The sequence below is a fragment of the Homo sapiens genome, chromosome 6 (assembly GCF_000001405.40).
Source record: "Homo sapiens chromosome 6, GRCh38.p14 Primary Assembly".
Classification (NCBI taxonomy): Eukaryota; Metazoa; Chordata; class Mammalia; order Primates; family Hominidae; genus Homo; species Homo sapiens.
In genome coordinates, this window is record NC_000006.12 from 18,976,206 (window position 1) to 19,004,128 (window position 27,923).

The following is a 27,923-nucleotide window of genomic DNA, read 5'->3' on the forward strand; positions in this document are numbered from 1 at the left end:
CATACTATTTCCCCACAACTCTCCCAAAGGTGAGTAACTAGACTTCTTACAACAGCTTGGAATATTTCTGATATAGCCAAGATCTACATAAGTTACGGAGAGACCAATTTCACAACTGTCCTACAAATCAGGAATGTTAGCTCTTCCATGTGAGACATGCAGTAGTCAAGCCTTCTGGTCTCTTAGCTATCTCAATTGCTGACTAAAAAATGAATCTGCCTAACACATAAGGCATCACATGCAAAAAGACCTGAAACTTAGCTGTACATAAAGTTTCAAGGAATGCGTAGCCCTCATCTATGCTGAAGCAATATATCAAAAAAATTGGCCAGGCACAGTGGCTCATGCCTATAATCTCAGCACATTGGGAGGCCGAGGCAGGCAGATCATGAGGTCAGGGGTTTGGGACCAGCTCGGCCAACATGGTGAAACCATGTGTCTACTAAAGATACAAAAAATTAGCCAGGCATGGTGGCATGTGCCTACAATTCCAGCTACTAGGGAGGCTGAGGAAGGAGAATTGCTTGAATCCGGGAGGTGGAGGTTGCAGTGAGCCGAGATCACAGCATTGCACTCCAGCCTGGGTGACAGGGTGAGAGTTCATCTCCAAAAAAAAAAAAAAAAAAAAAAAAAAAGCGTTAAGAGCAAAGATTTTGGAGCTAGACAAACAAGCTGTGGGACCTTGCACAAATCATTTAGACTCTCTACATTTCAGTTTTCTCATGTATAAAGTGATAATTTTTAAAAATCAGCGGTGGTGTTGTAAGGATTATATGAGGTAAAGAATATAAAACACTCAGCAGAGCACCTGGAAAATAGTCATCACAAATTTTACACCATCATCCTCACCACCGTCATTATTTCATCATAACATAATCTATGAGAATTCCCAGTAGTGCCATGGTAACTTGAGTCTGAGTTTGCAAAGTGAAAGTTTCCTGGAGATGGAAAAACACAAGAGCTGCCTCAGATGGTAAGATTACCTTGGGTCTCCTACTGTTACCATCACACACACCAAAAGGAGACCCTTGCTAGGCAAAACTTGCAATGAGTGGAAAGCAGTGGTAACAGCACTTAATAGCCACTCTGCTACAGTTATTTCCCTTGGGCTGCAGTATGTGTGATTCATAACATAATGCATATAAACTCTCCCAACAGTGAAAAAGCCCTATTTGGGCATCTGATGATCCATGAATTGAACCAAAGAAGTAACGATATAATCAGCCTGTAAAATGACCAACCCATTTTAAGAACTAAAAATCTATTTTTTAAGCAGAACTGAAACCCATCAACTCTTTACTGGTGTCCAGATTAATTTGCAGCTACAGAAATCTGTGGACAATGATAATAATTTCTTCAAGACCACAGAAAGAAATAAAAAGAAAGCCTTATAAATAAGAAAACCTTACAAATGAGAATGTTCAGAAAGTGCTTTACTCAATGTCTTTATGCAAACTGCGCTAATTAATCTCATACAAACATGGATATTTTTGTAAAGCATAAGCCCAAGTGCCATTTTATGACCATATAATTTACAAGTCCTCAAATTACATTAAAATCACCACACACAGTGTTTACAGTTTAATTGCATGGTTATTTACCATTCCCAATCAAGTGTTATTCATTCAGTACCTCTTTGCCTGATCTTACCTAAAAAAGAAGACACTTTTATGCTGGATTTGAGTGGTAAACATTCAAACATGGTAATACTCAAAGGCAACAAAGATGTGATTTGGAGTAAACAAATTCCATTGACAGAGATTTCAGAGAATGTCCAGGGAGAAAGAATGAAAAGAGATCAACATTTACTAAAATAACATTTCTTTGATTGTTTCAGTTCTACTGAAAAAAGGAAACTTCACTATCTACTGCCCAATATTTATGTAAAGCCAGCTAGGACTATTATCCATATTTTACATTATAAAAACATAGTTCTTCAGTCAAGAAATGTTTATTAAGTGCCATACACATTCCAGATTCTGGGGTAAGAGTAAAGTGTAAAAATAAATAAAGCATGGCCCTTTGATGAACCCACAGATTAGATAACCACTAAGTGTGTTATAGGCATTTCCACAGTTAAGAAATATTTACTACTTATCATCCTTTTGTCACTAAACAATACCATCCTGAAATTAGAAAATCTCACTACCTACCACCATAGAATATCTGTCTTCAGGAAACTTTCTAAGGCTTAGTTTGTAAAACATGGAGGTGGGGAACATAATAGTACCAATTTTCCTTCAATGGTAATATGATTGTAAAGGCTGAGTAAGACTAAAAACTCTCTACAGATTCCTTCTTTGGGATCTGCCTCTGTAGCTGACTTACATTCCTACCCAGGCAAACTGAAGCTTTATTTGCTTTCCTACGTTGCCTAGCAACTCACAATGCCTCACACCCCTGTTAGGATACTAGACAGTTATATCAGGAAACAGTTATTAGATAAATTAACTAGAATGACCCTTAATTCCTAGGATATAACTTTGAATTTTGTCTTTGGGGAGCTAAAATTTTTAATAAAGTGGTCCTCATTATGAAGTCCTCGGACCACCTGCATTTACATTTTATCACATTTTGAAATAGTCTTAGGGAATAGACATTATTATCCATATTTTCAATGTGAAAAATTGTTAAATCAGTTAAATAACTTTCTAAAATTTAAATGATTAGAAACTGGGATTCAAACTGATATCTGCCTGTTTGTCCAGCACATAACCTTTGTACTACATCCTGTCACCTTTGGAAAAGTCAGTTTTAACATGTTGATGATTAATCTAATTTCCCAATTAATTGCTCAATTTTCATTAGGCCTCAGCACTTACGTAGATGCTAATATGTTTTATTCAATATTAAATCACAAAAAAAATCTGTAGACCATATACAGCATGCATGTAATTCATATCTATACAACCACACACATTTTCCTTTAGGGAACTAAGAATGATACATGTAAAATGGTATTTATGTTCTTCATTGCCAATTTTCAAAACAGTGTCACCTTCTGCCTGTAACACATGCAAGTGAAATGTAGCAAACTAAGGTGATTACCTTTGGAAATTGTTGGCCCTAAGATATAGATATTTAAATGACTTTCAATCTGGAAAGTGCATTAAACATATGACCTGTCATTACCATCCAACAATTATCCAAATGGAATCTGAAATATAAAATTATTTCAAATGCTAAGGCTTTGGAGAAGCTTTGGAAAGATATGCGTAGAGGAATATAAGTCCATTTTGTGCAGTGAATTTTGATAATTGAGTCAAGAATGTAGTTACAAATTCTATATCTCCTACTTTATATCTGGCTCTAAATCAAAGAAACTAAGTACAAAATGAGAGCATAGGATTTAGAGACTGGCATAAAACTGGAAGAAAATAAAACACAATAGGCACAGGCCTCACAGTTTTTGTGGAATATCAGTAACTGAGGATTTTCTTTGGGCTCTGGCTGTGGAATATTAGATATCCATACATCCACTGGGAAGTTATTTAGTTGGTAGCCCTTTAGATGATACATGTATTATAAAGCATGCATGTTTCAAACATGTACATGATGGCTAAAATACAAGATAAGTATTAATATTAAAAAATCCACAAAAGATTTTTAAGGATGTAATTTTTTTCTAAGTATGTGTTATCAAGTGGAATTTGTGGATAAGCTGTTGTAGATCATGATTGGAACATGTCATTATTAAAGAGTGATTAATATTTTAACCCAGTAAAGGAAAATTACAATTAAAGTTTTCAGAGCTGGAACACCTTAGAGGTGATCTTTTCTGACTCTTTGATTTCACAAGTTAGGAAACAGATTCAGGAAATTAAATGATTTGTCTAATGTCATTCGGCTAATAGATGGAGGAAGAGATGGCGCTTGAATGATCTTTCTGGAAGAACATTCTTTCAAGTTCACATTTTTCATTTAAATGAGTAAATAAAAGAAACAAAACAGCTTTTGTCAAAACTAAATTTAAAAACTACAATTACTTACAAAAAAGTCTTTTTGAATCCATACTGTATGCTATATGAATAGATATATCCCCCCAAATTTTACTGGATGTTAAATGGCTAAATTTCTACCTCTCATATTGAACATTACCTTGTATATGTAGAGTACTGCACCGTTAGAGCAGAGAAAACAGAAGTTAATACAAATTGTGTTTTTCAAAGATCATACAGTAAGTGAAAAAGCTAGAGCTTCTATTTAGGACCTTGTGATTCTAGAACACACATCCTTTCTGCCTGGCTATGCTACCTTTCACTGAGATGGACTAGGAGAACAAGACACTTATAACACAGATCCAGCTAACAAAGTGATAATTTAAAAAAACATACACAGAGAAAACAAAGAAAAATAGAAAGTGAGAAAAGAGCTGGGGTAAACATAGAAGATAGAGAGAATGATCCAAATGAAACATAATAGGCTTTGTCTTTATCATCAAACATTTTGTCATCATATAAGTATAATTCATTTGAAGAATCTCAGTGTTGTGCAAAAATGTAGAATATTATAATCAACTTAGGAATTATCGTAATAAAACCCCTAGGAAAAATTACAATTAACTTGAGTCAATTAGATTTCTCAAGGATCCTTGACTCTAGCTCTGGCTAACAGGATTCCTAATGAGACAATTAATATTAGCTAATATCAGTATGATTGATTTAAAGGGAACATATAATTATATAGATGTGTGTATATAAAAGTATAGGTTTCTGTATGACTGTGCTTTACATCTATTCAAGTATTCAAAATTCTCAAAATATTTTGAAAGCATGTAAAGATAAGAGAATTCTCATTCCATAGGTAAAAAGCTGAGATTTGAAAATCATGCATACTAGGGCTCAGAGGCAAGGTAAACAGCCTTAGAAAGCCAGGCTTTTGTGTGAACCAGCCTATTGAAATGTCAGTACAGTTAAGGAGTGAGTTTGGGGAATATTTGTTGAGTGCCAACCATGTATCAGTCACTTTCGGCAAATCATCTCCTTACCCTTCACAGTCTCAGAGGGATATGTCGTTATCCCTATTTTACAGATTAGGAAACTGAAGCTAAATAAGCTTAAATAATGACCAAAAAGAGTGGTCAGCATTGCCATGTATTGTTGTATACTGCACAACAGCATCTGGTAGTGAGGAGAGGCAAATTGGGTCTGCCATACGTTTGTGCTCTGCCTGCCCAGGGATGATCTCTGGCGTGGGGCTGTTATTACGGAGAAAGGAAGTGCCATTTTCTAATTTGCTCAAAGGTCAGCGGTCTCACAGAATTACAGAATAAAAATTTGAGCCCATTTATGTCTGAGACATAGATCAAGCTTTTTCTACCATGTCTTGAAGCCCCTGGCCCCCCTCAGAAAGATGCAATCAGAGTAAGTCATGAGTAGCTGCAGCCCATCTCATTCTGAAAGGGCTGGACAATCTGAATCTTAAAGAGTTATTGAGGACAATGAAGGAAACTCTCAAGGAATTCTCCCCTGACTCTTTGAGACAAAACATTATCTGACCTTGAGATCTGAGTATAGATAGAGGGGGAGGAAAAAAACACAATTTAATATTGATTGAGCTGTTTCATTTGTACGATTTTCTAAAATAATAGAGTCACTGTACCATAAATCATCCTTTGTGGTTTCACAAATCAGTGACAAGAGAATTGGCCCCATGCCTGGCACATAACAGGCACTCAATTCACGTAATTATCAAATCGTACTAAAGGATTTCTGATGTTCTCATCAGTAAGAAAAGTGTTTGAGGATGGTAATGTAAATGGATGTATACTACCATTGATGCTAGAGACTTCATATCTGGCTAATGACTAAACTCACATGCAATATGGAAGTCACAGTGGCTGCAAAGGAAAAGAAAGCCTAGGAAAAGGATTGGTGTTCACACTTTTCTCAGCCCTGGCATCTTTGCTTTTTCTGTCTCCTCCACTAGTCAATAAATTCCTTGGGGATAAGGCTCATGGAGAATCTAGTTTATCTTCAGCAGTTCACACTTAACAAGTGCTCTGTGCATAGTAGGTGCTTAGTGAATGCTATTGAAGATATCAATGTTTCTATCTCCTCCCTCTCCTAATACTCAGAGTCATAAAATTGCCCTCTGGACACTCAGACCTCATATTCTATGTTAGAAAAGGTAGACAAAAGTTATGAAGAAAGTCTGCTTGGGGAGCAAAATATTAAAGAGCAATGGAAAACAGATTGTGTTTATGTTCAGCAGTGCATGATCCAGAAATAGCCAGGATTCAGAGAAGAGAGACATTCCAAGAGCTCAGGCTGCTAGAAAAGGTCAAATTAAAACTTAAAGATAGAGATGATGGGGACAAATTATGCAGGAAGAAAGAGCATCATAAGTGTAGAGAAAGGGGTTGAGAAGAATGAGTGTTCAAGAAAGGACTGTGAGAAGCTATTGACCTGGAGTAGAAAATCCTCATTAGAGGTGTTAAAGTTGGAAATTTAAACCTTAAATCCGTGGGACCCTTAAACTTGACCTTCTATCTTTAGTGAGAGGAGTGGAGTAGGGCTAGGGGTGAGCCACAAAAAGCTGAAGTGCTTCAGACAGTTTTATTTATTAATGTTTCAAAGTTTTAGATGATATCATGTTTTGCTTAATATAATTTTACTCCACCCGGGTTAAATATTTCAATTTTAACAACAACTTTGTAGGAAATAATGTTTCATCCCAAAGTCAAGAGGTGGAGAGGTGAGGAGGAAATATTTTTGAGTCTTTGGGCTTTCTGGAGTTCTTTGAAAATCATACTTTGAAAGGGAAAGTCTACTTCTTGCAACTATGTACAAACTACTCTAAGTTTTCTTTCTTTCTTTCTTTCTTTTTTTTTTTTTTTTTTTTTTTTTTTTTTTTTTGAGAGGGTGTCTCGCTCTGTCGCCCAGGCTGGAGTGCAGTGGTGCGATCTCAGCTCACTGCAAGCTCCGCCTCCCAGGTTCACACCATTCTCCTGCCTCAGCCTCCTGAGTAGCTGGGACTACAGGCACCCGCCACCATGCCCAGCTAATTTTTTTGTATTTTTAGTAGAGATGGGGTTTCACCGTGTAAGCCAGGATGGTCTCGATCTCCTGACCTCGTGATCCACCCATCTCGGCCTCCCAAAATGCTGGGATTACAGGCATGAGGCACCGCGCCGCGCCTCTAAGTTTTCTTAAATTCAATCACAGTGTTGGCGCACTATATCGGAGGCAAGATGTGCATGGATGTGGAGTGACATATTGGTATTACCACCATAGGTGCTGCCAACAGCCTGAAAAGTCACAAGAGATCTGTCTGTTCCAAGTTTCACTTCAGAAGCTTTCGTCTTTGCCTTCTCGCTTTTCAGTTAACCCATGGCTAAAATGGTTTTCACTTTTATAAATTGATTTAAAGATGATAGGAATACAAACAAGTCTAGTCCCAAATCAGCAGTCAGTATCAAATAATGTTGCTCTGTTGCCTGCTAGAATACTATGTTATTATAAAGCCAGATGTAGGAAAATGAATGCTAGCTTGGGAGGGTGATGACCCAGGTTTGAATCTCACATCTGTCATAGACCCACTACCTGGTCACTGTGTAGTGCTGGCTGCCAATAAGGATTAGTATCAGAGCTTTTAGTTGTATCATTTCAGGGAAGGTAATCCAATTCTTCTCAGATCTGTATAGCAATGTTTTGTGGTGAAATATATTTCCATGATAATAGATTTGAAATCCCAGTACACCAGAAGAAATATAAATATAATACAAACTGTTGCCATTGGGCATGGTTTTTCCATAGATTTGCTCTAGGGTCCCAGAAAGCAAGTTGCAGCATATACTGATTCTACATATGCAGTATTGGCTGACTTGGGATAAACTGCCCCTTCATCCTGTATTTAGTTGCGTGAATCACAAATTTTTCTCTTCTCTATGACCTTCCTTTCTTTCAGAAAGGGAGGGAAGCACAAACTGTAAGTTTTATTAGGCAAAATGATATAATACCTTCCAGAGAAGTAGGTTTATTCTTCAATGAACATATAGAAGTATTAATCTTTGGAATCATTTAAGACAATTTTAGGAACTGAAAGATTTCCAGCTACAAGACTTGTCTGTGATATGGTCAGAGTATGTTATAGGTGGGGAAGACCCTAGATCCTTTTAGGACTATAACTAGTAGAAATCTCTAAATAAGCTGGGGACTTAAAGGCAGAGAAGTGTATTCTTGTTTGAGCTTTGCCATTGTCTCTGATACCCTGGACCAATCACTTAGGTCTTCTTTGTTTTAATTGTTTTATTTTAAAATTGGGGAAGGAGGGTTGGAAACACTGGGTTAGATTATTTAGTTTTAACACTTGCTGTTTTAGAGTCAATTTCATTTTTGAATGGGCAAATAAATAGATCCCAATAAAATAAACTTTAACAGAATTATGTTTGCTCTTAAATAGGGTCTCTTGTCAACTTACATGCCACCTGTTGATCCTAGCCTCCCCAAATTTCTCAATATGAACGCTGGTATTATTCTTATTATATAGTATAAGTATCAGTCATTTTCCTTGAATATCATGGTCTAAATGCGCTGAACAGGTCAGAGGTAATGTCCCAGTGTTGTAATATAATTATCCTTTTGGTTTCTACCCTCCAACCCATCTTTGAAGATTCTTTGAAGGTTTTCTTTTGTTTTGTTTTGTTTTTTTTTTGAGACGGAGTCTCACTCTGTTGCCCAGGCTGGAGTGCAGTGGCATGTTCTCAGCTCACTGAAACCTCTGTCTCCTGGGTTGAAGCAATTCTGCCTCAGCCTCCCAAGTAGCTGGGGTTACAGGTGTGTGCTACCACACCTGGCTAATTATTTTGTATTTTTAGTAGAGACAGGGTTTCACCATGTTGGCCAGGCTGGTCTCGATCTCCTGACCTCAGGTGATCCACCCGCCTTGGCCTCCCAAAGTGCTAGGATTACAGGCACGAGCCACTGTTCCCAGCCCTTTGAAGGTTTTCTACGTAGACTGTGGCCTATACCTAAATATAGTTTTTTGTATGAAACCCCTTGGGCACTTTCTGGTCTCTCACCTGTGGTGTGCTTTCTGCAGCCGTTGAACACATCGAAAGGTTTCGCTGTTATAGAATGATTTGTCCAAATCACACTGTTTCTCCCCTAAGGCTTGTCTCTTCATAGCACATTCAGGTGTGTCTGCCTCTACTGGGAGCAGGGCAAATAGCTGGTTGGGGTTATGTTTTTCTTGGAGGTAAGATGAATGACTGTGTTGTTTGTCTAGGTGGTTTGGTTATCATCGTTCTTTTTTAACCTATTATTTTATGAATGGCTTCACTGTAATTAGCTTGTCTAAAGGTTTTACTTTCCAACAGAACTGATTTAATGTCCTCCCCATTTTTTGTGATTTCATCACCTACCACTAGAGCAGTATTTTACCTTATTCAAGGTGACCTAGGTTCCATGATTATTGAAGATAAAAGGAAAATGGAGATAGTATTCCCTGGAAATGCAACCTTGGACCACGGAGCTCTTGAAGCTGGTTTCTATATTCTTCTGCTATGCTTTTAGGGAGCATATGTGAAACTTAAATGGACAAGAATGATTTCAAAAGCATGCCTGCACAGAAAGTCCAGTGTGAAGCAGAGCCTGGAAAAGATTGAACAGATGTAGCAGGTGTAAACATGTTTCCTTATCTTGGTTCCTGGATTTTACATCCTCCTAGAAGACTCTCTGAACTGCAGAAAAGGGTTATTGGTACAGATGGTAAACTGCTAAAATGCCCAGAAGGTTCAAGCTCATCTGTGCTTTTAAAGAAGGGGAGGTTTGTGTGTTGTCTGACTCACAGGTGTTTGGAAGGCTCCAAATTACCTTCAGGTTTTTCTGTTTTACTTTGCTTTAACAGATGTCTTGGGTTATATGTTGGAAGCAGCCACTCCTTATGGTGTCCAAGTGTTTAAAATTGGAAAGAGTGTCCCAAGAGCAAGGGGGTGGAGTTGAGCTATTGGCACACAAGCCTGTGCAGTCATTGCAAATTGAGGCTCTGGGCCTTTCTTGTCTCTGAGCTTCTGCCACTGATTTTTTCCTCTGGTCACTGGTTCTTTATTTTCCTGCATTGCAGAGTTTGTATTGTACAATCTTCTTGGCGTAGACACTTCATTATTCCCGAATCTTAATGTGTCTTGTTCCTGTTTCTTTCTCAGCCTGTGGCTGCAACAGGTGCAAACAGGCTATGACCACATGCATTCAGGTGCTCTATTAGCGTGATTTCTCTGAAGCTAGCAACCCTTCTGTTACAGCCAAAGACTAGCACCGAAATGTATTAGCTTCCTTTCCCAGAACAGGAAACTTTCAGTGAAAAAAGCAAAGCTACGTTAGACTAACGTATAGTACAACAGCCTTCATTCTAAAACCTATGCCAATTCTATCATTCAGCCTGAATGTTTGTTCCTGCCATTTATCTCCTCCTACTTTGAATAAGAAGATGTAACATTTCCAGAGAAGAGCATTTTGTAAAATGTATTCCATGGGAGTTTTAATATGTCATATTCGGGGAAAATTCTATGTTGTCAAAAAGTTGACGAAGTCCTGTATTATATAAAAGTAAACATTTTTTTTAAAAACTCTAGGATTTCTTGGGGCCTTTAAATGTGCTAATTTGTGAGTTGAGATCTTGATAAATGCATTATGTAGGATTTATCATTATTTATTTAAACAGGAGTTTTTTTCAGTATGTCATGAGACTAGCACTCCTTAGAATACGCTTCTGAAAATATTTGCTTAGACAAAACAATAAGGCCCAGGAGACCCACATTTAGTAGCAGTTTGCCCTGGGGAAATTCAATACACCGTTAATGATGTTTTTAAAAATCATCATTAATTTGATGGGTAAAGGGAACTTTTAAGGGTTTAAGATTTTTTTGGATTTTCATGAACATTTTGGTTGATTCCCCAATACCTTTCTCCCCTGTACTTTTGTAGTCAAGTTATTTGAAAGAGATTGTTCCAATTCTCAGCTGCTGTTACGGGCTGAGTTCTGTCCTCCAAATTCATATGTTAAAGCCCTAACCTCCAATGTGACTATATTCGGATATGGGACCTTTAAAGAGGTAATTAAAGTTAAATAAGGTGGTGAGATGGGAACCCAATCCAATATGACTAATGTCCTTATAAGAAGAGGGAGGGACTAAGTCCTTATAGACAGACAAGAAAACAGAAAAAAATGCATTTGGAGCTCTCATTAGTCCCTGCCTGCAGGCTGAAGTTTTCAATTATGTGAACTAAGAAGTTTCTTCTATTACTTAAGCCACATTGTATTGTTTTATCTGGAATGAAAATCACTGTAACTGATGTACAGTTTATATATTATAGGGGCCATAGTGAATCAAGCTTTGATATCAGGTTATATGCCTCAATTTGTGGTTCTTTTGGGTCTTTTAATTAGAGGAAAGGCCAGGTGAGGGCACAGTAGGAAAGTATCATCTGCATGCCAAGGAAAGAGTCCTCAGGAGAAACCAGGCCTGCCGATGCCTTGATCTTGGCCTTCTAGACTCTGAAACTGTGAGAAAATAAATTTCCATTGTTTAAGGTACCCACCTGGTCTATGGTACCTTGTTACAGCAGCTTTGGCAGGCCAATACAGTGCCCATGGGGCCTGTACTGGAATATCAGGGTAATCCCTCCCATCACCCCACTGCAATAGCTTTATATAACCCTGACCTAAGCCAGTCAGTCTCATGATATTTCTTTGGACACAAGGATTAATGTAGTGGTACTATTATTAACATAATCCTTGGACTTTTGTTTAATAGTGTCGAAACATGCCCTTTTGTTCCCCATGCACACGACTGAGGAAACACACAGCTTCAGGTGCTGCAGGCAGTCATCTTGTGAAGCTAGTCAGAGGGTAAGGGATGGAAGAGACACAGACAAGAAAACAAAAGAAATGCATTTGGAGCTCTGATCAGTCCCAGCCTGAAGGCTGAGGTTTTCAGTTATGTGAACTAATAAGTTTCCTCTATTGCTTATGCCACATTGTATTGTTTTATTTGCAATGAAAATTATTCCAGCTGATACACAGGCTACACAGGGGCCATAGTGAATCAAGCTTTTATATCAGGTTACATGCCTCAATTTGTGGTTCTCTCAGGTCTTTTAATTAGATAGATTTCTAAATCCTTTATAAGTAATCAAATTGTAGGTTTCAAAATATGATCCCCTTAATGGGTATAAGGCCACTAGACAGTCTAATAGTGGACATATATAGGGGTAGGAACTATGTCTGTTAAGATTCAGCCAGTTATTAATAAAATCTGGCCCTGGAAATGTATAAGATGAGAAAGTGTGTCCCACTTAGGCTGTAGAAATTGGGGTCTTCTCAAGACATTTAACAATATGAATTTCTAAGACCTGGGTGGCCCTTGATGCTGAAAAATGCATCTCTACAGCTTAATTCCTGGTTTCACTTGGGTAAAGCTGGCAAACTGGATCCATCCACTTTGGCTTTTCTTTTAAGCAAACCACATGTAAGCTTTCCTGAGCTTAAAAACAGAAATGAGGCCACCGCTGGAAGTAGACTGAGTCGAATTTCTCACAGGAGAGGGACATGTTAACTGGACAGTGTCTTATGCACTAGCAAACACTGCTGTCTCCAATTCTGGCTTGGCAGCTTACTCATGTTCTTGGAATTGGTCACTTTTTCATTTCCTGGATCTAGGTTTTGTCAACTGTATTTGTCAATTTTTGTCAAAATTAACGATCCTGACTCAGGTTTTGTCCACAGGTAAAATTCAAAGGCTAGCAATCAAAACTTCAGACAATAAATATTCATTAAATATTTACTATGTGCCAAGCATAGTAAATATTTACTATGTGCCAAGACACTGAGGTATGTAAAACAGATAAAAATCCCTGTACTCATAGAATTTAGAATTGTGTGCGTGTGTATGTGCACATACAGGGATACAAATCTATATAATTGTATACAGTATGTCAGATGGGGAAAGGGGTTAAACACTTGTAGGTTTGTACTGTGTCCAACTGCCTAAGCTGGAACCATGTTTCCCAGCATCCCTTTCCTCGTATGGTTCCTGGGTGGAATTGGCCAAAGAGGAATTTTCGCAAGGTTTGGAGGTTGGAAATGAAGCAGCAGCCGTGCTATCTGCACATCATCATGGCTACATGCTGTGAAAGACGGATGCAGAGGTGCCAGAGCCTTCTGCCTCCTCCTCTCCCCTTGCTCTGTGTCCAGCTCTTTCTCCTGTCTGTCCTGCTGACCTACGGCAATCTCAGGCCGACCAATAGAAGCAGAGGCAAGAGCCTTCTGCTGACTTTACCAGCTCTCCTATGCTGCCCAATTCCAGCTCCATGTGCCTCACCACCAGTATTCTTTTGGAAAGCTCCTATTTGTCCATCATCTGCAACAGTGCTTCAGGAGGGCTGCTTCAGGACATTTCTCCAGCCTCCTAGTTCCCTTCTTAGAGGCTTTGTTCCCCAGTTGTTCTTTGTGTAAGGCCTTATTTCTATAATACACCCATGTTTCATCCCACTCTTAGTGGTCCTGCTTCCCTAGTTGAACTGTGACTGATACAAGCATTACGGAAAAGTAAGTAGGGTCAGAAACAGGAAGTGCTTATGGGAAGTGAGCTGTACTTTTAAATAATATAATTGGAGAAGTCTTCACTAAGAAAGAGATATTGGAACATAAAGCCGAAGTGGTAAAGAAAATAATTTTAAAAAATCCTTTCTCAAGCACATGAAGACTATTCGAAGTATAATCAAAGTAATAAAAGATTTGGCGGAGCAACACCTACAACTTTATATATCTTATAATGCTGCATAAATATACTAATCGCAAAAATACTCTATGATTTTCTTCAGAGTCTTCTTTTGAAGTTGTATTTTCTTAAACGTTATGGCATCTTGCTGAGGCAAAATCAAGACCAGAATTGTTCTTTGAGCTTTTAGAAGGAAAAGAGCTCTGCAGGTATGAAGCCATAAGGATAAAATATCCTCGTTAAGTCACATTGCTCCCTGACTACTGGAGCTCAGCCATCTATTTTCCCAAACACACTCCTCCAGCTTTGTCTCGCGTTTGCAAGAGCAACTATGAAAAGCAAACATGAAGAGTGTAAGGAAATCAGGGGAGACAGCCCCTGAGAAGGAGAAAGTGATATAGGAAAGTGTCTCCGTCGGGATTCGTGGAGATGAACTTCTTGGCTTTAGAGTGTTAAGACAGGATCTGCACTCAGCTGGTGTGCTAGAGAGAGACGAAGCCGCCTAACCAAACAATGCACAGAAAGGAGACCCTCTGCTCCTGTGTTTTTCTATCAGCCGCACCAAGGGCTTGGTTTCCTGGCAACCTGCCACGGTGCCTTCCCTCCGCGGAGGCTCGTCTGCCCCTAGGGGGAGCCAATCGGCTGTCAGCCTCCAAAGAGTGCCTGCTCATGGGATGGCAAGCTGGCTCTCTTGCAGAGCGCAATTAAAGCATCTGCCAGGAAAAGATTGTTTTGAGGCAGGTATGCATTTGATAAATTGGTGTTGTGGGCATCCCATGCCAAGGTATCGGCGGTTGCTAATGGACAATTGTGAACTTTCTTCAAACTCCGAAGTCTTAAGCTAAATACAGGGCGGATGTCTATACACAGTACTCTTTAGATCGTGGCAAATAGTACTCTCACCTATTTGATAATAAATCTGCCAAATTCCGATTTTGCAATGAAAAATGCTTGTTTCATTCTTGGTTTCGGTTTTTCTTAACTAGATAAAATTGGTTGAAATGAATATGTAATAATTTCATACATTTTAATACTTCAAAACGTATGACATTTTGCACATGTATTTCCCTACTTCTAATGTTCTCTCTCTCTCTTTCTCTCTCTCTCTCTCTCTTTTTTTTTTTTAATCGAGACAAGGTCTCATTATGTTGCCCAGACTGGTCTTGATCTCCTTTGCTTAAGCAGTCTTCCCGCCTCAGCTGCCTAAAGTGCTGGGATTACAGGCATGAGCCATCATGCCTGGTCTCGAACGTTCTCTTGAGGAAGCAATATGCACAACTAGAAAGTGGGCAGACAGGGAACAGCAGTTTTCACTTGGAGAGGTAAAAGCTGAACATGGCCTTCCATGCATGTGGAAGGCAACTTGGCAAAGAAAAATGCGTCCTACCTACATTCTCTGTTTCTACAACTTCACTTTTTGGACCCACTAACATCAGCTCAGAAGCAAATTCTCCCCACACACTGTGGATGTAGCTTAAATCAAGTCAAAGGGAAGGCCTAAGGGCTAGAGTAGGAAAGTGCCTAACCTTTGCATATGACAACTCACCCAATGACTCGCCTATTTAGAATGGTTCCCATTTACTCAAAATTTGGAAAGAAAGAAAGAAACCAAGCCAAGTTCATGGCAAAGTTCAGCACCAGGAAGAATCTCTTTACTTTAATAATCTCCTCCCATCTTCTTGATTTGATTTTTCACACATTCATTTATTCATCTTACATTCCAGAGAAACTTCTGGTGTAGGCCAAGACAACATCTATAGTTTCATAGAAACTACTCATTGAATTGAAGTAAACAAACTGGAAAGCAAAAGCCAAACAAGCTTGTCCAATCTGCGGCCCGTGGGCTGCAATGTGGCCCAGGGCAGCTCTCAATACTGCCCAACACAAATTCACAAACTTTCTTAAAACATTATATCTTTTTGTGAATTTTTTTTTAGTGTATTTTATGTGTGGCCCAAGACAATTCTTCCAATGGGGTCTAGGGAAGCCAAAAGATTAGACACCCCTGGTCTAGTATTTGTCTGTTTAAACTGTTTCACAAAAGCCAGCAGGAGACACTAGCTGTATTATGAACATCACGTGAATGTTTCTTATCTGACCATACTGCTCAGATATGTTGATTTCCTCCCCCATATATAGTATAAGCTTGCTCCTAGGACAGAATAGGAAAATATCTAATATTATCCTTTGAGTTCAGAAACCTCACTGTGCACACTGATATGCTAGTTTTACATCTTAATGTAGTGAAAATCTAACCTTCCCACCTATGATAAATACACGTAACTTGACCTGTAACTAGATACTTTTCAAATAACACTGACTGGGCATTTATTCTTTTAAAAAATCCCTCTTTAGTGCTAGCTTCTTCCATTCCTTCTGTAATCACTTGCATATGGGAAATGAAACAGTCCATTGCCTCTATTGTGTTACCTTTGGAATCCCACAGGGCTCCCTCTTTACCAAACAAGCAAGGACTATATAAGTAAAATGAGGGCAAATTTTGTAGAACAGCAGGAGATAAGAATATGAAGATATTTTTTCATCTTTCTTTTTTTTTAAAAAAAATTCTTATTTGCAAGTTTGCAAGTCTTTCCTTATGACCGAGTAGCTGGAACTCCATTTGGCATACAAAGGTTTATTTTTTGTCTTATTCATCTCATTGAGAATTAGCTTTAAAAAGGAAAAAATATGTATCTTCTTGATATTAAGTTAGTAATGTACTGCTCTAACTAGTCATAATTTATGCTTGAGTCAGTTTGTATCACAAGTATACTTAGAATAAGAATGCCTTACAAGCATTTACCTTTCAAAATAAAATTGTTTTATGATTTAAAAATATGACAACATTAAAAAATAAATTCTAAAAGAAAAATTATTTTTACATTTTCCACAGCTCTCCCTAGCTCTTATTTTAATGTTTTATGATGTTTACAAGGCTAGAGTACCAGAAGCTTGCTTTTTTTTCTTTCTCATAATTATTCATGAAATTCAATTAACTTGTCATCAAATGAACTATTATGTTATCGTGGTCTTTTTGACCCTAGCAGTCAGACGTCCTGTGAGATACCTGAGTCAAAGTTTTACCTCATCTTCTTCTAAATTTTACTCTTTATGGAAATTAAACCCTTTATGAAGACATCCAAGCATCATTTTAAGCCAACTATTTACAAATCAGCAAAACTATTTATAGCAACATTTAAATAATATAAACATAACGATATATTAAACTCTCTATCCTAACCCTATTTCTCACAGAAAATTTTCAGAAATCGCTCGTAATTTATCTCTGATAAAAAACAACAACACCACTTTCTGGGCCTGTGTTTAACTTCAATAACATTTTTGAACATTTTTGACTTAATGTCAAAAACCCTCATAAACAGTGTCTCTTCAGTCTCTGCCCTGCAGCAGGAAGGACATGCTATCTTCTGCTCACCTTTTAAAAGACACAAAGACCTGCTTGCCTTTCCAGATTTCCCTGATTTTCTCCCTGTTCCCCCATGCAAAAAATAATAATAATAAATAAAAAAAAAGAAAGAAAGGAAAATCTCAGAAACAATAAATAAAACTACAGAAGACAATAAAGGACGAAGTAAAGAGAAAGCCTCAAAACAAAAAGAAAAAAATATGCAGCAGTGCAGTGCTGCTGGTGTGCATGAAATACCCTGTGATAGCCTTTTCCTAATCATTAGGGAATAATTTTTCCTTCTCAAGTGAGAGACCTCCTTAGCCCTTTGAAACCTGGGTTGATGTTTACTAATTAATTTATATAGAATGGTCCCTTAGCAACCATTTCAAACAGGATCTGTTACCTCTGCTCTCTGGGTTTAAAGGAACGCATCCTTTTCCAAGACAACCGTGTTTGTAAAGGCCAGCAGCATGCGGCAGTATTCTAGAGACTGGTATCAAGTGATGCTTCCACAATACTTCAATGATGAAAGAACATCTTAGAAGTTGTGATGTTGCTATTTGATGGTGAAATAAGTTTTTCATATCATTTAATTTGTAGTTATTGTTTTACCAGATGGGAAGACTTTTAAACCAATAAATAATCACTGTCTGCCATGCTGTATATATTTACTTATTTACTGGCTTATTGTCATCTCTCACTTACTCTAAAGTATATAAGCTCTACAAGGAAATGATATTTAGTCTGTTTTGTTCATTGCATTCTCAGAATCTAGTCCCTGGCATAAAGTAGCCACTCAATAAATATTTGCGAGCTGAATAAATGAATACACGAATAAGGATTTTCCCGTATTTTGATAAGAGGATAAAGGACAAAGATAAATAATATTTACAAATTTCTTAAGTCACTCTTTGAAGGGATTTTTAATGAATGATTATAAGTGCTTCCCAGGGATTTACAAATTATAATGGGAATTTGATTTTATTTTCACTGTAGTATGTGTTATGATGGGATCCTCCTATTGTGAACCTTGTCACCTAACCCATATCTCCCTACCCTTACTTATAATGTCTTTTTTCTTTTAATAGATTTTATTTTTTAAAAGCAGTTTTAGATTCATAGCAAAATTTAGAGGAAGGTACAGAGATTTCCCATATATCCCCTGCCCCCACATATGTGTAGCCTTCCCCATTACCAACATTCCTCGGACCAGAGTGGTACATTTGTTACAAACAACCTACATGTCACATCATAATCACCCATAGTCTACAGTCTACATTAAAGTTCACTCTTTCCATCTGGTCCAGGGGTTTATTAGGTTGATAGTTTTTTTTTAATCACTAATGGAATTCTGGAATTCAATATTGTTCTGTTCAGGGTTTCAATTTCTTCCTGATTCAATCTTGGAAGATTGTGTTTCCGGGAATTTATCCATTTCCTCTAGATTTTCTAATTGTGTGCATAGAGGTGCTCATAATAATCTCTAATGATCCTTTGTCTTTCTGTGGGATTATTTGTAAAGTCACCTTTGTCATTTCTGATTGTGCTTATTTGGCTCTTCTATCTTGTTTTCTTTGTTGATCTAGCTAGCAGTCTATTGATCTTGTTTATCCTTTCAGAAAACAAACTTTTGGTTTTGTTGATTCTTTATATGGATTTTTGGATCTCAATTTCGTTCAGTTCTGCCCTGGTTTAGTTCTTTTCTTCTCTAGATTTGAGGTTAGTTTGTCCTTGATTTTCTAGTTCCTATAGGTGTGATGTCAGATTGTTAATTTGAGATTTTTCTAACTTTGTGAGGTAGGTGTTCAGAGCTATCAATTTTCCTCTTAACACCACTTTTGCTGCATCCCAGAGATTTTGATATTGTGTCTCTGTTTTCACTGATTTCAAAGATTTTTTTCATTTCTGCTTCAATTTCTTTGTTTACCCAAAAGTCATTCAAGAGCAAGTTGTTTAATTTTCCTGTAATTGTGTGGTTTTGAGAGGTCTTCTTGGTATTGATTTCTATTTTTATTCCACTGTGGTTCAAGAGTATGGTTGGTATGATTTTGATATTTTTGCATTTATGGAGACTTGCTGTATGACTGAGCATGTGGTTGACCTTAGAGTATGTTCTGTGTGCAGACGAGAAAAATGTATACTCTGTGGTTGGTGTATAGAATATTAAGTGTCTATTATGTCCAATTGATTGTATCAAATTTAAGTCTAGAATTCTTTGTTATTTTTCTGCCTCAATGCTCTAACACTGTCAGTAAGTGTTGAAGTCCCATGTTATCATTGTTTGGCTGTCTATGTCTTTTTGTAGACCTATAAGTACTTGTTTTGTAATCTGGGTGCTCTTATGTTGGGTGAGTATATATTTAGGACAGTTGGGTCTTCTTATTGAATTGAACCCTTTATCATTATGTAATGCCCTTCCTTGTCCTTTTTTACTGTTGTTGGTTCAAAGTCTGTTTTATCTGATATAAAAATAGTGACCTTTGCTCTTTTTAGTTTTCTATTTGTGTGATAGATTTCTCTCTAGCCCTTTACTTTGAGCCTATGGATGTCATTAGATGTGAGATGTGTCTCTTGAAGACAGAAGATGGATGGGTCTTACTTTTGTATCCGACGTGCCACTCTATGCCTTTTAAGCGGGGTGTTTAAACCATTTACATTCAAAGTTAATATTGATATGTAATGTTTTGATCATATTGTGAAGTTGTTAGCTGGTTGCTTTGCAGTTTCTATTGTGTGATTGCTTTATAAGGTGTATGGGCTATGTATTTAAGGTGTTTTTGTGGTAGTAGATATTTTATTTTTATATTTAGAACTGTCTTAAAGATCTCTTGTAAGGCTGGTCTAATAGTAACAAATTCCCTTAGTCTTTGCTTGTCTGGAAAATATATTATTCCTCCACTTATGAAGCATATTTTGACAGGATATGAAATTCTTGGTTGGAATTTCTTTTCATTAAGAATGCTGAAACTAGACATCTAATCTCTACTGGCTTGTAAAGTTTCTGCTGAGAAGTCCACTATCAGCCTGATGGGGTTCTCTTCTCTCTAGCTGCCTTTAAGAGTTTTTTGTTTGTTTGTTTGTTTTGGGGTTTTTTTTTTAGCATTGACCTTGGACAGTCTGATGAATAAATGACTTGGGGATGCTCTTTTTTTAGAGCGACAGGTGTCCTCTGGATTTCTTGCATCTGGATGTCTATCTCTTTATCATGATTAGGGAAATTTTCTTGAGTTATTCTCTCAAATATATTTTCCCGGTTTTTTACTTTTTCTCATGTCTCTCAGAAATCCCAACAATTTGTAGGTTTGGTTGCTTTATATAATCACATATTTCTTGAAGACTTCATTTATTTTTCTTAATTCCTTTTCCTTTATTTTTGTCTGACTGGGTTCATTTGAAAGGCCAGTCTTCGAGTCCTGAAATTGTTTCTTCTGCTCGGTCCAGTCTATTGATAGAATTTTCTATTGTATTTTTTTTTTTTTTTTGAGACAGAGTCTCGCTCTGTCGCCCAGGCTGGAGTGTAATGGCATGAACTCGGCTGACTGTGCCTCAGCCTCCCAAAGTGTTGGGATTTCAGGTGTGAGCCACTGCGCCTGGCCTTCAATTGTATTTTGAAATTCCTTAGGTAAATTTTTCAATTCCAGAAGCCCTGATTGACTTCTTTTAAAAATGTTGATCTCTTCCTGTGTTTCCCGGATTGCTTTAAAAGTTTCTTCTTGTTAATTTTCAACCTTACCTTGCATTTCATTCAGCTTCCTTGCAATCCACGCTTTGAATTTTTTACCTTTTTGTCATTTTTGAGTTTCCATTTTGGTTAGGGATCATTGCTGGAGAGCAAATGTGATCTTTTGGTGGTGTCACTACATTCAGATTTTTCATAGTGCCATAATTTTTGCACTAGTACCTTCTCATCTGGAGACACTGACACTTCTAGTTTTTGTAATTATTTTTGTGCACATAGGAATTTTTCTTTTTCTTTCTTTCCACATAATATTATTGTTCTTTTTTCTTCCTCTTTTGTTTCTTTTTATTATTTTTTCTTTTCCTCTCTCTTTCCCTTCCTCCCTAGGGGCTGAGACTGTAGAGAATGCTGAGTAAGGTCTTTTGGTTTTGCTTCTATAGACATAAGTACTTCTATTGGCAGGTTCTTTATTGGGCTGTGTTGTATGACCTATAAGCCAGTAGATGGCACTTATGAGTAAGTGCTTGCTGTGGCCAGTGTGGCTGAATATACACCTGATCCGTGTTTACTGGGAGAAGCTCTCTGTTACTTCAGACAATGGGCTAATCCATGAAGTGCACAGTGGCCTGAGCTCTCTGCCCAGCCCTGAGGAGACGAGGGGCAAAATGGGTGGGGACATATAAGGCAGGTCTGCCTACAGGTCCTCTAATGGCAGGCACAAGCACCAGCACCAGCACCAGCTCTAAGGGATAATTCAGTAGGCATCCATAAAGCACTTAGAAGCATGCCTAGGTGTGAAGCTGGGAAACTCCCTCAGCCCCAAGTTCTTGCACAGGGGGAGCAGGACAGCCTAAATTCCTAATCCAGAAGAGTGGGTGCTCCTGAGGCCTGGAGAATCTCCCTGCATGTGGAGTGTAGAGTGCCCTCCTGCACCATAATCTCTAGAATTTTTAATATTAATGATTTCCAGCTTATCAATTCTTTATTTCATGGATTATGACTTTGGTGTCGTATCTTGAAAGTTATCCCCAATACTAAGGTCACCTAGATTTTCTCCTATATTATCTTACAGAAGTTTTAGAGTTTTGCATTTTACATTTAGGTTAGTGATTTGTTTCAAGTTTATTTTTGTGAAGGTTGAAGGTTTGTGCCTAGATTCATTTATTTTTTGCCTGTTATTGTTCACTTCGTCCAGCACCGTTTGTTGAAAAGATCACCTCTTCTCCATTGTATTGCGTTTGTTCCCTTTTCAAAGATCAGTTGACTAAATTTATGTGGGTCTATTTCTGGGCTCTCTCTTCTCCTCCGTTGATCTATTTGTCTGTTCTTTTGCCAGTGTCACACTGTCTTGATTACTGTAGCTTTATAGTCCATCTTGAAGCCAGATAGTGTCAGTCTTCCAACTTTGTTCTTCTCCTTCAATATTGTGTATTCTGGGTCTTTTGCCTATCTATATAAACTTTAGAATCAATTTATTGATATTCACAAAATAACTTGCTGGGATTTTGATTAGGATTGCATTGAATTTATAAATCAAGTTGGGAAGAACTGAACTGACAACATGGAGTCTTCCTATTCATGAGCATGAAATATCTTCCATTTATTCTTTGATTTCTTTCATCAGACTTGTATAATTTTTAGTATAGTTTTTTAAATGCCATCTTTACCCAGTTCTGAGGCCCTGCATAAAAGTCAGTGAATTCCTCTTCTTGATCAGCCAAATTAAGTCTATACCCCAGTCACCTCCATTATGGAATTTTCATGAGACTCAGGCCATGATCCCCTTTTGCTAAGCACCTCAGGGACAGGTACCAAACAACTAAAGACAGCCCCTATGCACCAGTGCTTGCTGAACTTATTCAGAGTAGCCAATTGTAAACTCATTTACCCTCTCTTGCCTATTCCTTCCCTTGGAAACCAGCATGTTTGCCCACAGTTCTGCTTTCTTCCTCTGCCTCAGGACTGACCCTGTTGCTTCCCCTGAGTGGTTTTATGTTAGAGGTAGTGGGGTTGGTGGGTATCTGTGTTCTCCCAAGAAAATTGTGTGGGCATAAAACTACAACTCTTTCCAATTAGCCTCTCTTGATCTATGCATGGCCTTACCATACCTCACCCAAGGTAACAGAGTTATTAATGAAACATACCACCATCGCAAGATCTCTCACTGATGTATCGGTGCTTCTTTTTGTGGGCTTACTGTCTTGCTGCTGGAGTGAACTTTGCTGTTCATATGGAAAGCTGAAAGTTCTGGAGAAATAACACCCCCAGAGAATAGCTCTCAGCCAATGGCTAACTGGAATGAGTGTATAAATACTCTAGTTCCCTTCTCCTCAGATCCATTAACTTTGATGCATGCATTTTATGCCACCTCCCAGCCTTTCCCCAGCATCCATCTTCTTACATTGCTAGCTAGATAACCATCTTTATTGCTTGCCTCCTCTTTGCTGTCTCACTTTCCCATTCCCCAACCCATGTTTTCCTTTACCTTATCAGTAAACTACTTGGACCTTACTTTGGTTTTCTGTGGTGGCCATGAGAAATTGACATAACAAAAATGTATTCTCCTACAGTTCTAGAGGCCAGAACTCCTTTTGCCAGCTTTACAGGAGCATCGTTGCTTACCTCTCCCAGCTGCTAGTGCCTTCACAGATAGCTTGGCTTGTGGCAGGATAACTTCAATCTCTGCTTCCATCATCACATTGCCTTCTCCTCTCCTATAGTCAAAGATCCTTCTGTCCCCATTTTCTAAGGGAAATTGTCATTGGACTTAAGGTCCCCTAATTAAAGATAATCTCATTTCAAGAACCTTAGCTTAATTACATCTCAAAGGTTCTTTTTCCAAATAAGGTCACATTCACAGGTTCTGAGCAGATGTATCTTTTGGAGGAGAATGCCATTCAACTCACTGTAGATCTGAATCCTTGTCTAAGTGTATGCTTCTGGAGGGAACCCAAACTATGACTTTTGGGTCATGTAAAATGAGTTTAGATTGTTTCAGTTAGTTAAGAGTTCACAATTTAGTGACTAAGATCCAGACCCATCCTTTCTTCTGTGGATGCTCTCAGAAGACTGCTGTCTGTACAGAGAAATGGTTTCTATTTCTTAGTCTCAACTTGGCTTCTATCCAATTGAAATAAGTAATGAAGCAAATTTTCATTCTTATCTCTAAATGTTTACAGTCTTTGGAGCATTTCTATAGTAAGAGGAGAAGTGAACCTCATTACTCCAGAAAGAATTACTTTTCTTCTTTATCTCTTTTTTATTTTCCATGACATTCTTTCCCAATATATAGAAGCATGTCTGAATCCAGAATCCCCAACCTCTCCTTTTAGGCAGGTCACTTCTCCTAAAGATTAATGCAAATGAAGGTCTTGCACAAATATCTCTAATCAGCGTCAGACAAATACCAATCAGGTTCTTTGTGCTCTGGCTCAGTAGGGTGCTATTAAGATGATTGAAAACCAGACCTGTGCATCCCGCCAGCACTAGTCCTGCCCTGCGCAGTCACATCATGGTGATCTTCTCCACTTTTCTTAGCTGCCAGCCCAGTGTGGTTGATCATCTGGAGAAAAACAATGCGTATTGGGACTCAAACTATGGTGTGGTACAGATTTTGTTTTGAAACCCCACTTTGAAAATATCCTGTCTGTTGTATGTACAGCAAAGACTGCTGATCATAATTAATATGCATTCAATTTTGTTTATGCTTAAAGAAAAGATATATTCAGAAAGCTTACCTGCAATGTACATAAGAACATGTCATAATTTAAAAGCTATCTTGGCATGCTGCGCTATACAGAGCAGGATGCTACATCCCACAGACTACCATGGTGCTTAATTCCTAGCCTAAGAAACAGAAAGAGGGCAAATGTTCTGAAAAATGGACCTCCACCCCAAAATACGTATGAACATATATAATATTATAATATATACTATATATAATGTGACTAATGATAAATATATATAATATGTGCATATTATGTATTACAAACACACATATATACCTATTATATTATGAACATGTATTATATATACACATAATACAGCATACTTTATATATAATATCAGAGCATGTATGTGTTATTTATATATAACTTATTTGAACCTCAATCTCCTCATCTATAAAATGAGGGTTACAATATCTAACTCTATGATTAGTTTGAAGATTAAATTAGTTATATAAATAGTGTACTTAAAGCCTAGCATACAAGAGGAACTCAATTGTAGTGAGTTTCTTTTTCCTGACATTTATGCATTTAAACCAAATACATGGAAATGTAACCAGGTAGAAAAATTTTAATATGTATTACTTTCAATGGTTACCAGAGAAAAGAATCAAGGATCATACTTATTTTCTAAGTGGAAGAGTCTAAATTTATTTCCAGTATATCAAGGCATCAAAAATAATTGAGTTAATTTTCAGTCTTTCTCTGCTTTCACCATATCTATTATTTAATACCATCTATAAATATTCAGAATTCTCTATTTCATTTTTATTCTGAAATTTTCATTCCAGATATTACCAGGTTCAGATCTGTATACATCATCTGTCTTTTTAAAAAGAGACTAATTAATGTACTTTATTAAACTGGACTATTTTTAGGTTTGCTTTTATTTTTAAAATCTATGTTAGTATACACAAAACATTTAGTAAACAGAACCATAAATGAATTATTATTACATTTGTGTAGTGAATTAAAGAAAACTTCAAATTATTTGATATTCCTCCCATCAAGAGTTAAGGTCTACACCCTTCCTCTTGAATCTGAATGGTTTCTGTGACTGTTTAACAAAATTGCCAAAACAATGCTGTACTGGCTCAGGCCTTAAGAAATTAGCAATGTTCCCTTCTGTTCTCTAAGAATGCTGTCTCCGGGCACCCTGAAACACCATGTAAGAAGTCCGATTACTCTAAGACCACCGTGATGGAGAGAGGGGTTACTTGCAGGTGCTTCAGTTGATGGTCACATTGAGCCCATACCTCCAGCCACCCCTGCCAAGATGCCAAACATGTGAGTGGCATCATCTTCAGCCCTCTATGTAGTACAGCCACTAGCTGAATTCCACTAATGCTCCTCAGTTAATGCCACAGGGAGCAGAACAGTTGCCCTGCTGGGCACTGCCAGCATTCCTAACCCCTAGAACTGTGTCATATAATCAAACATGGACTGTTTTAAGCTACTAAGTTTTGGAGGTAATTGGCTACATAACAATAGATAATCACAACAATAGATTTACCAAAAGGGAGTACAATGTGTTTCTCTCACTATAGGAATTATTAGTATGGATTCAGAGGATGTGTTGTGATTGCCAGTAAATTGAAATGGATCAATAGAATAAAAAGAAACTATGATATTTTTAGCAACTAAGATAGTTTTATAATTACTTGTTGGCCATCTTATTCAAACCTGGGAATATTTCATGATCAATGCTGATGTAAAATATGGTTCTTCTAAAAAATATTCATTTTTCAGGAAATTATTACGAATATCTGATTCAGACCTCTGAAATTCCCTTGTGAGGCTGTAAATATGATAAGTTAACATCAGTTTTACTTAAGTTGTAAAATATTCCTGAAATAACTGACATTATAACAGATTCAATGTAATACTGTTCTCTGGTAACACTACAGTTCAGAAGTGAGTGATAAATTAAGTTTTGTGGAACACCAGGTACTATTTGTAATGCTTTTAATAATTTTTATATTTAGAAAATAAATACCAGAGGACAACAAGAGAGTGTAATAATTACCTAGGTCAGCTGAGTATTGAGACATGTTGGGAATACTTAAAATATAAGTAGTTAAGATGAATTGCAAATGGATTCCTTGCTTGAAATCTCCTTCACTTCACTTTCCACCTCTGTCAATTATTCTCCCCTTTCTTTATACTGCACATTTCCCCAGGATAATGAAGTGGGTATTGCATCTATTTTCAAGGCTTTAGCCATAAAACGTACATTCAAGACATAAAACACATTTGAAGAGACCCAGATTTATATTTCTACTCTTGTTCTTTTCACTAAGTTCTAGACCTATATTTTCAATTGCATAAAAATATGTCCTGACTCTCTAACACCACAAACATGTCCAACATTAAAAAAAAAGACTCATTAGATCCAACTGCATAATCATTCAAATCTATCAAGCTAGAAACTTTAGGGTGACTTTTATCTTCCTCTTCCATCATCCCACAGATAATTGAACTTCCAATCCTGTGATTTCTATCTCTGAAACATTGCTTCTAGTCTGCCTCATGTCCCTCTCTCCACACAATTTAGGCTCTCATCATCTATTTTCTGCACTTGTGTGATAATCTCTCTCTCTGTAAAGGCAAATCACTTCCAGATTTGTTTTTAAAAACATGTCCAAGAGAAAACAAAATACAGCAAGAAAAATGTTTCCTTTCAACATAATGCTATAAAAAGCCATGTCCCATCTGAGAAAATGACATGCTTCCTTCATTCTAATTAAATTACTGCAAAAATGTTTAATGTGAATTTTATTAAATTATAAATGACAGAAGTATGCACGAATCATAAGTGTACAGTTCAGTGAATTTTCAAAAAATGAACACACTAGTAACTTTTAATGTGTAACCACCACACATAAAAAAAGAACACTAGCATTGCCCAAAGCCTCTTGCTTTTTCTCTTCCCAAAGGTAACCACTCGTAGGACTTCTATTGTTATCAATTAGCTTTTTCAGTTTTTGAACTTTACATAAATGGAATAATGGTATAATTCACTTGTGTCAGTTTTCTTTTGTCCAACTATAAAGTTGATGTTTATGTTACGTATAGCAGTACTTTGTTCATTCTTGTTGTTACATACTATTCCCATTGTGTGAATATACTACAGTTAATTTATCCAGTCTGCCATTGATAGACATTTGAATTTTTCAGTTTTAGGCTACTGTAAAGAGTGCATTGTGAACATATTTTACTCATCTTTGGGTTAAATATATATGCAATTTTATTAGCTATGTCCCTAGGAAGGCAACTGTTGGGTTGTAGAAACGTTCATATTTACAAATACTGCTAAATGCTTTTCCCAAGTGGTTATAGCGTTTTTTGGTTTCTTGTAACAGTATATAGGAGTGTCTCTTAATTCAAATC

General features: G+C 37.3%; 1 long non-coding RNA gene across 1 annotated transcript in view; it reads left to right on the top strand.

Annotated features, from left to right (window-relative positions):
- Positions 1-907: 907 nt before the first annotated feature.
- The window catches only part of LOC105374958 (uncharacterized), a 119,161-nt gene continuing 92,145 nt past the window's right edge, over positions 908-27,923 (top strand). The window contains exon 1 of the long non-coding RNA XR_001744010.1: positions 908-973. This is a non-coding gene — a long non-coding RNA (uncharacterized LOC105374958). The remainder of the gene's footprint in view (positions 974-27,923) is intronic.